The sequence below is a fragment of the Homo sapiens genome, chromosome 1 (assembly GCF_000001405.40).
Source record: "Homo sapiens chromosome 1, GRCh38.p14 Primary Assembly".
Classification (NCBI taxonomy): Eukaryota; Metazoa; Chordata; class Mammalia; order Primates; family Hominidae; genus Homo; species Homo sapiens.
Window position 1 is genome coordinate 232385454 of NC_000001.11, and position 16750 is coordinate 232402203.

General features: G+C 44.7%; 1 protein-coding gene across 11 annotated transcripts in view; it reads right to left on the minus strand.

Moving 5' to 3' along the window:
- Nucleotides 1-12511: 12511 nt before the first annotated feature.
- SIPA1L2 (signal induced proliferation associated 1 like 2) overlaps nucleotides 12512-16750 on the minus strand; it is a 232532-nt gene continuing 228293 nt past the window's right edge. For all 11 annotated transcript variants that reach the window (NM_001377488.1, XM_017001896.2, XM_047426142.1 and 8 more), the window contains one exon: nucleotides 12512-13820. In NM_001377488.1, coding sequence (NP_001364417.1) covers nucleotides 13674-13820 — 147 coding nt within the window. In that variant the 3' untranslated portion in view covers nucleotides 12512-13673. The remainder of the gene's footprint in view (nucleotides 13821-16750) is intronic.

Here is a 16750-nt window from a genome sequence, read left to right on the forward strand (position 1 = left end):
AGGAATGAGCACTCCCCACGCAGAGACTGTGGGAGGCCACAAACACAGAGAGAGGCCAACTTCGGCAGAGTGGCCAAAGGAGAGGTGCAGGGAAGGCGGCAGGCAAGAGTGGGCAGAGCCACGCACGGCCAAGTGTCCTGGGATGGGGGGGCACCACGTTTCCAGGAGGGACTATGTCACCCTGCCAATGCCGTGGGAGGGCAAGGAGAAGATCTGAAAAATTCAACTTCATCAGTACCATGTGCCAGTGCATGGAGATGTATAGTGAAAGCTATTGCACTCTATTTTTTTTTTTTTTTTTTTTGAGATGGAGTCTTACTCTGTCACCCAGGCTGAAGTGCAGTGGTGCGATCTCGGCTCACTGCAACCTCTGACTCCCTGGTTCAAGCAATTCTCCTGTCTCAGCCTCCCGAGTAGCTGGGATTACAGGCACGTGCCACCAAGCCCAGCTAATTTTTTTTGTATTTTTAGTAGAGACAGGGTTTCACCATGTTGGCCAGGATGATCTCGATCTCCTGATCTCGTGATCCGCCTGCCTCAGCCTCCCATCGTGCTGGGATTACAGGCGTGAGCCACGGCACCTGGCCCTTGCGCTCTATTTTTATTGAAATTCCATGTCTATTTGTTTTAGCAGCTGGTAGGCTTCTGGTGGCCCTCATCAGAACCCTCAGGCTTAGGTGAGTGGTAGAAATAGAGGCTGGTTACTGGGTGCCTCAGGTGGGTATGCAGGCAATGTAGACAGCAGGTGTAGACAGTGTGGAAATGAGTGGGTGGAGAGGGAGCCACAGAGGACATCACACATTCGGTGCCTACTTCCAAGTGTGAGAGAAGCTCCCTTGGAGAGATGCCTGCATCCCTAGGGCCCAGGGCCCCGGCGACATTTGCCAGTGCTCTGGTGTTTCGAACGTCCATGGTGCAGACTAAGACCGTATGTGGCACAGGAGATGCCACCCTGAGTGAGGAGAGGAAGGAAGGTCACGACCTGGGGTTCCGCAGTCTGACAGGACTGAGGTCACACCTGTCCCTGGAGCCAAGTGCAGCTTTTCACTCGGCCACACAGCACATTCTCTGGGAAGGGATCATGGGATCACTGTCAGCTGTCAAAGCAGCAACGCCTGCTCAAGGCTCAGCCCTCTCCAGATCACTGTTCCTGTCTTACCTTCCAAAGTCTGGCCAATCAACCTCAAAACAGTGCACTGTTAGGGCCCAGCCTAGCTAATGGTAGATCCCACTTGGAGGGGTGAAAAGAACCGGGAGCCCATGCCAGGAAACTCTCAGTTGCTCGTGATATCCCTTCTACTACTCAGGTGAGCATGGACTCTCAGCAGGGCCAGCACTTTCAGCTCCTTCTAGCAGAAGTGACTCTGTGGAAGATGGCTGAACACATCCGGCTGGGAACCCCTGTGGGATATTAGGTCACCCTGGCTGGCTCAGGCTTCCTGGGTGTGAATGTGACTGAGTGTGGTGCAGGATGCGGGGCAAACAGAAAACAGCGGCCAGGGAAACCCTTTACAGACACCTGCATAAATCAGGCACAGGCCCACAGATTGCTTTTATTTGCCAGGTTGAAAAATTTGAAACTTGGAGAGGGGAAAATGTTTCTTCTGTGGGCATTTACACTGGGAAAAGAGATGGGCTAGCATCCTTTAAAAGGATTTGGTCCCCATGTTGGGCTCCTCTGTGCCTCTTTTCAGGGCTCTGAGGATGCTCTAGCTGTCTGCCTAGCTGAGGTTAGCAAGGTCCCGGAAGCCGGGTCTCTTCTGAGGCCCTGGCTTTTCTAGGGGCAGAGCAAGGGCTGGCCATCTGGAGTCTGTCCTGTGCCCCCCTCAAAGGTCCAGCTCTTCTCATCTGACCTGGCCTTTATGACCCGGCAGGGCAGGGGCTGCAGACACACAGGGGGCAGCCCAAGTTGGATCCACCTGCCCAGGTGCACTTTGCCATGCCTTGGGGTTCTCAGCTTAAACTCGTGTCTAGCCTGCCTTCCACAGTCACACTGGGTTTCTGCTGATGATGCCCAGCATGCCCCAGCAGACACACACATGAGCTGACTCCGGACCATCTGCTTGGCCAGTGGTTTCCACCAGTGCTGGAAACCAGGCACTTGTGGATTTCAACAGTTGTATTAGTCCATTGCCTTTGTGCACTTCGGCAGAAAACAAAAATGCTTTTTCTAAGTTATTACCTGTATTACATTCCTTTGATTCCTGGCAACCACAGAGTTAGATGGTATCAACACCTCTTCATTTCTTTCCTATCACACCTGGAAAGAGGTCCTGGTCCTTTTACATCTTAGCAACATGGCTGTAGTGAAGATGAAGACTAGATAAGCTGTAGAGTTAAGACACAGGCATATGGCCGGGCGCGGTGGCTCACGCCTGTAATCTCAGCACTTTGGGAGGCCGAGGCAGACAGATCGCCTGAGGTCAGGAATTTGAGACCAGCCTGACCAACATGGTGAAACCCAGTCTGTACTAAAAATACAAAAATTAGCTGGGCATGGTGGTGCGTGCCTGTAGTCCTAGCTACTTGGGAGGCTGAGGAACGAGAATTGCTTGAACCCAGGAGGCCGAGGTTACAGTGAGCCGAGATGGTGCCACTGCACTCCAGCCTGGTGACAGAGTGAGACTCTGTCTCAAAAGTAAATAAATAAAAATAAAAGACACAGGCATGTTTGCCTTTTAGTACCCGGCTCTGGTACTCCTTCCTCTCTGCAGCCCCTCTCCATACCCACTTGCTGCTCCCCTGCTGCTTGTGTTACTTTGCACTCCAAGACAAATGGTGATGCCCCTGTTGATAAAGTCTTCTCCTTCACCCACTACCGCCTCCTTAGAGGCTGTCTCATGCTGTATTCCCAATGCCCTGCACAGTGTCTGCCCCATAACAGGTATTCACCATAGTCTCTGGGGAGAAAGAGGAGGAGGGGAAGGAAGTGAGCGTTATAATTTGGGGCTAGGAGTTACATTGCAGTGTAATATAACCAACAAATGTCAGTTATGGGACAAAGCTCTGGTGAGTTCTAAAATAGTACTTGAGAATACTGTTTGTAAATGATCTCTTCTTAGAGAAAAAGAATCTTCAAAGATGATCTTAGATATCCCAATTCTGCTGAGTAAGGAAAAATAAAGTCCTGACAGCAGATTTTCCTTCTAGGATTTTCACGTAATTGACAATAAATTATAGGCCCAATGGTCACTCCTGAAAAGCTTAGGCTGCAGCCATGTGGCTGCTCACGGCCACCATGCAAATGGAAAATGGGCACAGGGCATCTGTAGCAAGCATAGACTCCTTCTCAGTCTTCTTTCTCTCCAGCCGGACCCTGTCCCTTCTCCTAACCTCAACATCGGGACACTTGGCAAAGGACAGCAAGGATCTGTGGGGTTCTAGACCCTGTTCAGGAGCCGTCTAAGACAGTTTACCTCCTCACTTCAAAACAGATTCATGGCCTCAGCAGCGGGGTCAGCGGGGATCAGTGAGCACTCAGTCCATCCTCCCTTTCTGCCAAGGCTGGCCAGCTGAAAGGAGGCAGCTTTGTAGGAAGTGCACATCCACTGTCTCTATAGCACTCAAGGGTCCCAATCACCTGGGCATGGCGGCTCATGCCCATAATCCCAGAGCTTTAGAAAGCCAAGGCAAGAGTATCTTTTGAGCCCAGGAGTTCAAGACCAGCCTAGGCAACATAATGAAACCACATTTCTACAAAATAATTTAAACATTAGTCTGGTATGGTGGTGCGTGCCTGTAGCCCCAGCTACTTGGGAGGCTGAGGGAGGAGGATGGCCTGAGCCCAGAAGTCCAAGGCTGCAGTGAGCTATGATTGTGCCACTGCACTCCAGCCTTGGTGACAAGTTGAGACCCTGTCTCTTAAAAAAAAAAAAAAAAAAAAAGGCACTGGCCAGGGCGCTGTGGCTCATGCCTATAATCCCAACACTTTGGGAGGCTGAGGAGGGTGGATCACCTGAGGTCAAGAGTTCGAGACCAGCCTGGCCAACATGGTGAAACCCCGTCTCTACGAAAACTACAAAAACTAGCCGGGCGTGGTGGTGAATGCCTGTAATCCCAGCTACTAGGGAGCCTGAGGCAGGAGAATTGCTTGAACCCGGGAGGTGGAGGTTGCATTGAGCTGAGATAACACCACTGGACAGAGTGAGACTCCATCTCCAAAAAAAAAAAAAAGCACCAACGCACACTTCCTGGTTCCCTAATAGCAAGCATAGGCTAGCATGAGCTCACAGACATTCTGTGAAGGCACAGAAAGGCGACTCAATTAGCCTTTTGAAAAGTGCTCATGGCACTGGTTAAACGTGACCTTTCCAGGTAAAGGTGCACAGGAGTTGGGCAAGTCAACATGAAGTTCCAAGAGGCTGAATGGGAGTAACTGAGCCCAGATCCAGTGTCCTCCATAAGCACAAATTTGATCTGCCTTCTCACTGGGCAGTCAGCTGCATGCATGCTGACCTGGATATTTCTCCCTTCTGAAGGCCAGAAAGGTGGGCAATGTCCCAGCACCTCTGAAATGGTCACATGGGGCCACGGGGAGTCTTAAGTCTCACCTGTTCTACACTTGTACCTTGCGTATGCTCTGGTGTTCGATGACCAGGGGAGATATTACTATGGGAGCCAGGCTGTAGGCAGGTCCAATAAAGTTGGGTTAATGGCAAAAGTTAGGTTTTCCTCAATAATTCCTCCTCTTAAAAGTATTCAATGATGCTTTCTTATTTTCACTTGTAGGTCTTGATTGTTCTGACTTGACTGAGATTAATAAAATCTTGAGTGCAGATATCCTTATCCAAATTGCAAACAGTGTCCTCTATTCACAAATACAATACTTCCTTTGATTCAACCAAAAAATAACTATCGGGGACCATGTTATAGATTTGATCTCACCTCTTCAACCGTATATCTAGAACTTAGTCTTCTATAAAGTGAAGGGATTGGTCTCCTCCAACTCTGTGGTTCTTCTTTCTTCCAGTGGGTACCAGGACTTCTCATAATGGCCTTTGTCTTTTCTTCTTTCCAAGCACTTTCTTCCCCACTGTGTCCAAGCTTCCCAATCCTCAAGCACCCCTGAAGCTATTCATATTTAATCTCTTCTCCTGCTGTCCTGGTGTCTGATCTCATTCTTTAGCTCATCCAACCTCAGTGTCCTACCAGATGCTCCCACTGCAGAGCTAAATGTTAAAATTTAGGGCCTGGAGCAAACACTTCAGTCATTCTTCCTTTTCTACACATTAATTACCAAATTAATCACTCTTCAGAGAGAGGTCTTCTTTTCCCCTGTTGATCCTCCTGCAGGCCCCCAGAGCAGAGCTCCATGGACTGACGTCTCCTCTCTCTGAATAGATGGCAATTGATCAAAGTCTGTCTGCTCTTTAACATCCAGAGAGCACTTCAGTGGTGTTTCTATATTTTCCTGCACTTGTTCCAACAGGTCTTTGTTTTTTGTGAGATTAAGCTTCCTTGTTTCCCTGTGCTTATCGACTCCAAGTCCTCACAAACTCACTCATTCAGGCCGCATTCCTATCTTTTTAAAATAAAATTATTTACTTTTAATTGTGATGAAATAGACATACATACAATTTACCATCTTAACCATTTAGAGTAGTACAATTCAGTGGTATGAAGTGCATTCACATTGTTCTGCAACTCTCCCCACCATCCATTTCCAGAACTCTTTTCATCTTCCCAAACTGAAACTCTGGACCCACAAAACAACTGCCCATTCCTTCTCCCCCTACCTGCTGGTGACCACCATTCTGTTACCTGTCTCTATGAATCTAACTACTGTACTACCTCATATAAGTGGAGTCATCCAGTATTTGTCCTTTTGTGACTGGATCATTTCACTGAGCATAACATCCTCAAAGTTCATCCACACTGTAGCACGTGTCAGATTTTCCTTCTATTTTAAGACTGAATAATATTCCATTGTATAGATAGACCGTATTTTGTTTATTCATCTACTGATGGACATCAGGGTTGCTTCCACATTTAGGCTATTGAGAATGATGCTGCCACAACACAGGTGTACAAATACCTCTTTCCTAAATTCTCTTGGGTTCATACCCAGAGGTGGAATTGCTGGATCATATGGTCAATTCTAAGCTTAATTTTTTGAGGAATCAATATATTTTCTATAGCAGCTGCACCATTTTACATTCTCACCAACAGTGCACCAGGGTTACAATTTCTCCACATCCTTGCTAACACTTACCACATCCCTATCCTTTTCATTTAAAATACAATTCATCACAAGCCATAATTCAGGAGGGAACAAGGCCATGCAAGATGAAGTCTCAGGGAAGAATAAAGGCAACAGGTTTCTATAAGAACCAACAGTTAGGCCGGGCGTGGTGGCTCACCCCTGTAATCCCAGCACTTTGGAAAGCTGAAGCAGGCAGATCACCTGAGGTCAGGAGTTCGAGACCAGCCTGGCCAACATGGTGAAACCCCGTCTGTACCAAAAATACAAAAGAAAATTTAGCTGGGCGTAGTGGCAGGCACCTGTATTCCCAGCTACTTGGGAGGCTGAGGCAGAAGAATTGCTTGATCCTGGGAGGTGGAGGTTGCAGTAAGCCCAGACTGTGCCACTGAACTCCAGCCTGGCCAACAGAGCGAGGCTCTGTCTCGAAAAATAAATAAATAAATAAATAAATAAATAAATACATAAATAAATAAATAAAATAAAGAACGAAGAGTTATTTTGGCAGGGCAGGGCAAGTCAAATTTTCCAACAGAAATATTAAAGATATTCTGTTGGACTATTCTGTATGTATTGGCAGCTACTTTTATAAATAAAATGTGTGTCTATAAATACACAAGTTTGATGTTCACATCCGTTAATGTAATGCATTTTTATGGCAGAACCACTTCACGCATCTAAGCACAATTCACAACTGCAAAAATATTATGGAACCAACCTAAATGTCCATCAGCCAACGAGTGGATAAAGAAAATGTGTTATATATATACACCATGGACTACTACTCAGCCATGAAATGGAACAAAATGGCCTTTACAGTGACTTGGATGAAGTTGGAGGTCATTATTCTAAGTGAAGTAACTTAGGAATGGAAAACCAAATATCATATGTTCTCATTTATAAGTGGGAGCTAAGCTGTGAGGAGGCAAAAGCGTAAGAATAATCTAATGGACTCTGGGGACACTCAAGGGGAAGGGTGGAGGATAAAAGACTACACATTCATGCAATGTACACTGCTCGGGTGATGGATGCACCAAACTCTCAGAAATCACCACTAAAGAACTTATCCATGTATCCAAAAACCACCTGCTCACTAAAACCTATTGAAATTAAAATAAAAAAAAATTGTTTATTTGGACAAGTGAAGGTGGGATTCCTTCAGAACCTTTCCTTATACAGCTACATTTTTGGATCTTAATACAATTTTTCTCTTGGAAATCAGTGTCACTGACAAGAATAATCCCTACCCAATGGGACAGTAAACAATGACAGTAGCCAAGACTCCCAGAAAATCTCAATTTTACATTTCAGGACAAATCACTTAGGTGGCTCTTGCTTTGAAAGAACAGAACAAGAACCTGTTAAATTAGGGAGAAAAACTTGGTTTCGAAGCTCCCATCTACCTTGGAATTCACATAAACAGTGTAGTCTACAGAAGCCAGTGTCATTAACTGGGTCACTACCAGGGCTCTCTCTACTCCCTCCCCTCCTCCCCCTTCACGATCATCTGAAGTCAAATAGTTTTAAGATGATGCTGGCAGAGCAACAGCCTTACAGTTCAAGAGTAACAATGAAAAATGACCAAGTAGGAGTTGAGGGGTTAAACCCACTGACTTCCGTGCACTTCCTCTCCTGAGTAGTGCTATTTGCGTTCTTAAGTATTTAATTTAAAATGACACAGAATGCCCATTCTGGGAATTTTATATTCATGGAAGTGGGGACTGTGGGCTGTAGCCTGCTGTTTGGCAAGCCCTCAGCCCAGATGGGGTTCTACAAGGTGTTTAATCAGATCCTAGAGCAGCACACGACTGCCATGTTTAATTACTCTAATTTAATGGAGCATTCCACAAGATCCGCTTGGTTTGGCATCAATGATTATGGTCGTGGGGAAGAGGGGCAAGGGCCCAGACGCCCAGTCCCAGCTTGTTTCATACACAGCGATGGAGGAGACTCTGCCAGGGCCTGAAGTCTCCATCTGCAGATGTGTATTTACAGCCAGCACTGATTTAGTTGAGGCAATTTACTGAAATGCTACCACTCTGAAGCCCTCTCCTGCACACAGCCTTCCTCATGGCTTTCACTGGGTCACAGTAAGGCTGGGAGAGCAGCTCTTTATTACAAGTCTTCCAACACCACTGCCTAATAGCCTGATTGATGGGTACTGATGGCCAGGACACTGGAAGTCTTACCCTTCATTTTGTTTTTTCACTAACTCAGCTCCAGCTTTGCAGCCAAAGGGTATTTTTGCATGTCAAGGGGGCTCATTATTTTTCATTTGTTCTACTTAAAAAACAGGCTGCTCTGCAAATTTTAGGCAGATCCCTGATATTAAGAGATGAAAAACAAAGATAAATGTTTTTAAGAGTCTGCAGATGCTAAAATTTAATCAAAACATTGTAAGGATTTAAGAGGGCAGTACACTTTTTGGTATTAACATGAACTAGAGAGGACTTGCAGGATTTATGTTTTTGTGTTTTTTAAAAGCAACTTAAAGGTCCCCAAATCTCGTGTGTCAAAATGCAAGAGTGTGACATTTGGGGGTGATGCCCATTTAAACCTTTTATAAAATACATGAGGAGATACTTCCTTTGTACTTGTTTCTGCCTAATTCCTATTACTGAAAGTCAGGAAACTTGCTCTTTGGTTTAATTTGGTTTAATTTATAGGTCAGAAATCAAATGCATTCCTTGGGTCTTGGCAGGTCTCTTACCATTTTCTCTCCTGTTGGTCATAAATACAGTTTCCTCCTACCTGCCCCTAACTGGTGTTAAATAGAACCCATTTAGTTCTATTTTCTTTTTTGGGAGTGAGTAGTATGCCTGACTTGCTTACACTAGAGCTAGGGAAGTGGTTTTAAATGTGTTAAGCACAAAATCCACAGACACTCAAATGAACTGAAATTGTTTCTTACTAACCAGTAATTCAACGGAGAAAAGTGTGTGCAAAAATCTTTATTACTTCTTCCCAGCCCCATACTCAACTTGGAAATTCTAAAGAATAAACACTGGTGTGATTTCAGGGAATCTGAGGCTATTTAATGATCCCCAGAGTTTGACCTGAAAGTAGTGGGCCTTTGTCTCTTAGAAAGATTCACACAAATGTATTTCTTGGTGGGGCAGTGATTGTCATGGTCAAGAGGGTGGCTCTGCCTCAGATGGTGGCTTGTTTCTTGTGACACAATCGTTCCATCCAGTAGAAAACAGTAGAATTAACTCTTAAAGAGGTTATGTTCACAGCTTCTCCACAACTAGAGAATTCATTTGTTGATCAGTCTAAATTGTATGCCAATTCTTTCTCTAAACCACAGATCTAGGTTTCTCAGGCCAATTATTTTATACAAGGAGCAGGTGATTTTCCTATTCAAGCACTCGTCTATTATCATCATTACAGGTCTTTATTATTAATGTTTTTATAGTTATCTTTTTTATTTTTGGATGTGCCAATAAGAAGCTATGTTTTATGGCTTCATGACTTTGAAGGCTAAAAATAATAGGTGATCAAATTCTGCAGTTTAGTGGACTCCCAGAACAGACTCAAAAGATAATTGTCAGCAGCAAAGGCAAAACTGTACTATCAGTCCCCTCAACTGTAACTTAGGTTTCTAATCATAAGCCTTCTCCTAGCTATAGAGAATAGCAGGATAAAAGCCTAAATAACTTTGTCACATACTAAAATGGCCTTAATACATAATAGTTCACTCCATATGGTTAGAAAAACCTGCTTATTCTAAAATAATTTTTTTAGCAGATATATTCCACAAAATATTTGGTTTGTATCCAGTAAGTCATAGCAAGTCAATATGTTTAGTTTTTAAGGGGTACATTTTGTAACAGTGTTCACCAGGACACCAAGTTGTTCAAAACTACATGTACTATGGGAGCACGTAGTTGGTTGGTTGTTGACTGGAAACATGTTTGAAAGAGCTTAACAGACCCAAATCATTTTGGCCCTGTTTTTTGACATGGCCCTTTGGAGATGGACTTGAGAGAGACTATTCATTCCTTTGCTAGTATAGACTGAGAACTGTGTTTTCAAGAAATGTCTTCTGGTTTTGTCGTCATGCCTTCGGAAGATGGAATGGCTTTCCATTCAGCTAGGTTTTGGTCAGATTCCTTTATTTTCTCTAAATGATGTCCACCTTTCCACCTGATTAGTTGCTCTAAAGCAAATGCATACACCCTTGATCAAATACGCAGGAGAGCTGTATTCCAGGCCCTTGCCAGGAGCATAACTGTTTGTTGTTAAGCCTTTACTAAAGGCAAGAGATATTTCTGGAAAACCGTCTGATGAACATGCAGTTCATGGATTCCTTTGAAGTCTAGGGCGTATCCCTGGATCCAACCCTTCCAACTCGTCTCCAACCCAGTTCTGTGGGCTCTATCTCCAAATACATTCTCACGTGTAGCCTACCTACTTCTCTCCACTTTCACTGCCTTACCACAGGCCGTGCCAACACCATCTCTTACCTAGACTGGTCTTCCTCGTGTACTTTGCCTTATGCCTGGCATTGGTAAATTATACTCGTGAGTGGCCTGTTTTTGTGTGGTCTTGCAAGCTAAGAATGACTCTTACCATCTTTAAAGGGTATTAAATAGAAATTTGAAAATATGCAACAGAGGCAGTCAGTGACTCCCAAGGCCTCAAATCGTTCGTTTGCAGAAAAAGCCCCACACAGAAAGTTTGAAGACCTACATGGTCCATTCTGCTTTAGAAGTCAGAATAATCCATTTAAAATAGAGCTCTCATCAGGCATCTTTCCTGCTTCAATGGCTTCTTTTTGACTTGGAACAAAATCCAAAGTCTAGCATGGCCTCCAGTTCCTTCATGGTGTGGCTTTTGCTGATCTCTTCAAGCACATCTCCCTCCACTCTACCCTCCGTTACGTCCTGGCTTCTGCTAGACTTCTTGAATACACTAACCTTAGGGACTTTGAACCTCATGTGCCCTCGTCTACCCATGGACCACCCTATCTAGGTCCTGATTCCTCATCTTTAAAAAGGGGAGTGATGATGGCACCTACCTCACATGGCTGCTAGGTAGGTAACACAAAGCTCAACAGGACCTGGCACCCAGGAGCTATTCAAACAGTATCAGTGTTTATAATAATTACTTAAGGTAGCCTGTTGCAGGTACTTTTATTTCTGTCTTTCATGTTTTGAAGTGATCTTATGTCTGTCTCCCCATATTAGATTGTATGCCTGTGCACACAGGGGCCCTGACCGGTTGATCACTGTTGGATTTTCAGCTCCTAGCATGCTGCCTGGTTCACACTGATGGGAAAGAAAAAAAAGGGAAGGAGGGAGGAAGGACAGTATCTATGTGGCCCATAAGGTCCTTATTCCCTGAAAATCTCCAGTCCCTGGCTGCAAATTTTGGATGTGCACCTGTGCATTTCATAGAGGGCAGCTGCATGAAACAGCTTTAGGAAGCCTACTGCTACATCCACTGTGAGAATGTTAATTGTTCAATATGCCTCTCATGTGAAGCCCATATGGAAAATTCCTTTTGGGGCCAATTCTAAGAGTCAGTTTGCTTCCTCTGAATTCTTGATATGCTTTCTGTTCTTCAAAGGTTGAGAGGAATGGACCTTACAGTGTTTCCCTTCACACCTGGATCTATGTTTTGTGTCTTCTTACATTGGATTCAAATTTACAGTTTACCTCTTCCTGATAATTTTTCAAACTCTTACTGTTTTTGTTTGTTTTTTGAGATGGAGTTTCGCTCTTGCTGCCCAGGCTGGAGTGCAATGGCGCTATCTTGGCTCATCGCAACCTCTGCTTCTCGGGTTCAAGGGATTCTCCTGCCTCAGCCTCCCGAGTAGCTGGGATTACAGGCATGTGCCACCATGCCCGGCTAATTTTGTACTTTTAGTAGAGACAGGGTTTCTCCATGTTGGTCAGGCTGGTCTTGAACTCCTAACCTCAGGTGATCCACCCGCCTTGGCCTCTCAAAGTGCTGGCAACACCAAAGTGTTATTTTATTTTATTTTTTTAAAGGCAGTCTTGCGTAAATTACTTCACTTGACCCACAGTTCATGTGGTTGTAAATGGGAACCCCACCTCCTACCTATGAAGGATAGATACCATTGGGGTTAAATGAGATGGATGAAAAGTTCAGAGAATAGTGTCCGCCACACAGCAGCTATTAAAAACTGCTAGGTACTCCTTCCTGAAATCGATCTGGGATTCTATGAGAAAGGAGCTGAACAGTATTTAATACAAATCAAGGTTCTAAATGACCTGAAATAAATTCACATACAGTCAGACTGTTGACATGTTAGATCACAAAAAATCTAGTCACCTGACAACACCATTTCTTATGTGGACTTCTTTTAAACATTTATTAAAAAAGCAAAATGTATGTTCATCTCAAATCTAACAGTTAAAAATGGTAAAGCAATACAAACAATGTGTTACTAGCAGCATCCAGTCGTTAGAATCTCTCACCCTGCTTCTCGGTCTGATCTGTGCAAGCTCAGTCTCTTCTGAGCCTGCAGCTACCTCCATCCCTCATCGTAGTGCAGGCCAAACCAAATTTTATAAAATTAACAATTTAAGGTTAAATAAGCTTAAATAAGGGTGTTAAATACAAGACACTTCATCAAAGCTTCTGTACAAAGATAAACAAATCTGGCATTGTACAAGTGGTTCCGCTGGCTCACAGCACACAGGGAAGTTCTAGTGAGTAAGCAGATTCACTCTCATTTCTTTCCAGCAGAGCAACTATACAAAAGTGAACTAAGAGTTGAAGTGACTACTGACCACTCGGTGAGCCATTTACAAGGCATATGTATCTTTTTTTTGTTTTTAATCAGAACACTGTTAATATTCAGGCACCATTTGTTCCTGCAAATAAATAAGTCTCTAAGGTAACTGCATCTGAACTAGTGTTAAACACAACAGTGCTTTTTTTTTTTTTTAATCCCCCCACAAAGCTTTTCCAACTATGTACTATGCCTCCTTTCTTATTGCTATGGTAATGTGGCTGTGGAAATAAAACTACTGTACATCCAAAAAAATAGAGCACCTTTAACATTAAAGTATATGTCTGATTATTTGTTCTCATGTTTATTTTACAATACTAAAGCCCAAACTATGGTAAATTGCTTTACATCTCTACCAGGTCACCTGATATACAGGAAATAAAACTCAACTATCTTCCCTCTTGAGGTAAGCCCAAGCCAGAGCACTGTTTTAGCAGAGTCTAAAAGAAAAAGGTCTCAACTGTCGCCAGGGTTTACATTCATCTTCACACCAGGAGTTACATTCATTCATCTTCACATCGGCGCTGCTCTCTGCCGTGGTTACCGAGAAAGAGTCGAGGCTCCCTATCCTGCTGTGGTGAATGGTGCTACACAGAATGGAACAGCAAAAACATCTACGATTGGTTGAAAGCACACAGAAAAACCACATGTTTGTGACTTCAAAGGGACAAGGGGCATTTCCCAGTGGTCCCTTGATGAGGTGCGGATTGGCTAAGATTTTTTGTCGATGGTGGTGAAAAACCATTCTGTGAATTTCCGCAGCTGAGCTGTCGCGGTCTGGGACTCCTCCTGCAGTCTCATGTTGTCCTGTCTCAGGTGCTGCACTTCTGCTTGGAGAACGGCCTTGTCTTGTTTTTCCTGGTCAGAGCAGAAATAAACTGAGTCATGGAGACTGATCGATACATTCATTCCTCCTAAGCTGGGCTACGAGAATCTTTGATTCTTATTTTTACTTATGTACTTTTTGAGGGGAGAAGGGGTGACTTTCTTTAGTGAGGGGACTTTTCTGATCCTGATTCCTGCTGATGACAAAGGGATGGGAATGAACACTCCACACACCCTGTTCTTTCATCCCACTCTGCTCCCATGGGGTGCTAAGATAGCCTTTATATAGGAAGGGTGTTCATCATAGTTTATATTACCCTCTATCCAAAAAAGGGAGACTACAGGGAGGTTAAAGGTAATACCCTTTTGACAAATGCACAAAACTTTCTAAGTAGAAAATTGGAATTAGCAGAGCTGTTACATATGTTTATAATAAAATATGTACTTAGGTCTTTCATTCCATCAAGCTTTCCTGCTATACTATATTTCCATAATGACCCTTAAAATCTGCTATTAAAAACTGTGTAAAAATAATCAAGACTTTCAGAAGAATCACATCTGGAGTTTCCAACATGTAGCAATAAAAAAATGTATAGCAGCAGTTTCAGTTCCCCCCCTGCTGAAAGGGATGCCTTGCCCTAAATGAATAGAGGGGTCACTGTCAGATTGTAATAATCGGTATTTCTGTAACGGGATCTAACTCAACCACTACAGCCACCACATGCCACCCCCAGCACTGTGCAGGAGCATTGAGTGAGGTGAGTGGACGCCCCCACCCTTGGCATATCTGGTCCTGCCCTCAAGGCTTCCTCGTTTCCTGAGCCCTTCCAAGGCCCTCCTCAATACCACCTGCCTGGTCACTGGCCCAAAAGACACTGGTCCTCAGAGGAGGCCTGAATCAGAGCTGACCACTCACTTTGCTGTAAGGAGCAACTGCAGCCCACCCTGGATAGACTCACTTCACTCTAAGAAGCAGCTGCAGCCCACCCTGGATACTGACTCTCCCCGGACATTCCTCACCACGACTCTCAGTCCCAAGACAGTCTGAGTCCCACAGCTCAGCACATCTCTGCTGCGACTCGGCTGCCCACCTCTCCACATCCCTGCAAACCTTTTATTGTGATCCATGAACTTGGATTCTGCCAAGAAGACCTTGTGCACGCTCAGTCTCTCCTGAAATTCCTTTCGTCTTCGTGCTCTAAGTGAATCCTGGCTCCCTCCCGAGGAGACCGTCCCCAGCAGCTCACTATGGGGGTCGGGCAGGCAGACAGTGCATCCTCTATTGTTCAGGCCAGATCTCCACTACTTCCTACAATTCCAGCTCCTCTAAAAAACGTGCCATTAGGTCATGAGACCTGCTACCCCTCCTGGCTGCAATTATCTACTGTATCCCCAGTTCCAACCATCATTACGGGAAGATTCTAGAACCTGGTTTGCTCTTTTCTCCCCATCCCACTCCTGTCATCTGTGTTGATGATTTCGAATCCACTGAGATATTCCATCTGACACTCTGGCCGTTCAGCCTCTCCATCGCTTTCTCTCAGTGATCTTCAAACCCCACCCTCCTCAACCCCCACTCCCATGACCACATCCTATACCATGCTATTGTCAATGACTGCACCTCTTCCTAAAAGTTTCAAGTTCCTACTTCTTGACCACCACCTCCAGTCTTTTAAAAATAATTTCTCCAGTATCCACTCCTCCAGTAATGATAGACTCCATCAATCTTATCAATCTTACTCTTATTTTCACTGTCCACCAACACCTCCAACCCAGCCATTCCCCAGCAGTGACATTATTTCTCTTCAACCAGCCTGGACTCCAGGTTCTTTGGTTTATTCATGCCCTGTACACGCCCCAGGGTCCTTGTCTCTCTCTCTCTCTCTCGTCTTGATTTCCCGTCTAAACTTTAATATTGGCTAAATTCAACTCTCCAACGGTTCTACACTTGCAGCTGGAGATAGGGTGACCAGCCATCCCAGCTTGCATGGGACTTTGCCGGTTCTAATATGGAAACTTCCACATCCTAGAAAACTTCTCCATCCCGGGCAAACTGGGACAGCTGGTCACCCAAGCTGGGGAAAAAACACACGACCAGGAAAACAGGTATCGCTTTAATTTATGCTCCAAATTCAAACGTGCTTTAGCTTTTTTTGGGCAAGTCTCCTAAACCCGGTTGGTTTACACGCTGTGGTGCACCCATATCCGCTATCCACAAAACTCTTATACTCCCACCACTCTTAGCTCATGACTAGAAAGAAAAGAAACAATCAGAGAAATTTGCCAACATCTCTGTCTGGACCCTGTGTATGTGAATGAACATGTGCATATATGAACACACACATGTGCACACATACTCTGCTCCACTCTGGTAACTATGTATGAGCTGTCCCTACTCCTATCCAAGGCCAGCTCCCTCCTTGTGACTAGATCAGAACTCCACCCACTTGCTCTTCACCCTCATCATAATTTCCCTCCCAACTGAATCCTTTCCTCAGCATTCTCACCAGCTACAATTTCTCCCTTCTTCATAAGCCAAACCAAACCAAACCATCACAACAAAAACCTTCCTGTGATGCCCTCCCGCTTGCTACCGCACCCCATTCCGTTTCCCTGGACAGCCAACTGGCTCTCCAGCACAGGGCTGATGGAACAGAGCTCAGCCAAGTATTTGTGGGATACAGAATTTAATTTCTTTTGAGGACAGACCATGTGCAGGTTGATGTGTACAGCAGAAGTTCTAAGGGCTGTGAAGCTGATTCAAGACAGAGGACAGGACTCATAGAGACCAGGCTTTCTGGCAGCAATGGACTCCTCTGAGGTCATCTCATACAGAGTTGGCGCAACTGATAACTCACTGAACTAAAAAATGCTGGCCCACCATGCTTCTACTACACACTGAAGATTTGCCACACCAAGGGCTCATCCTCATTTACTCATATCCATTGAGATCCCTGCATCCC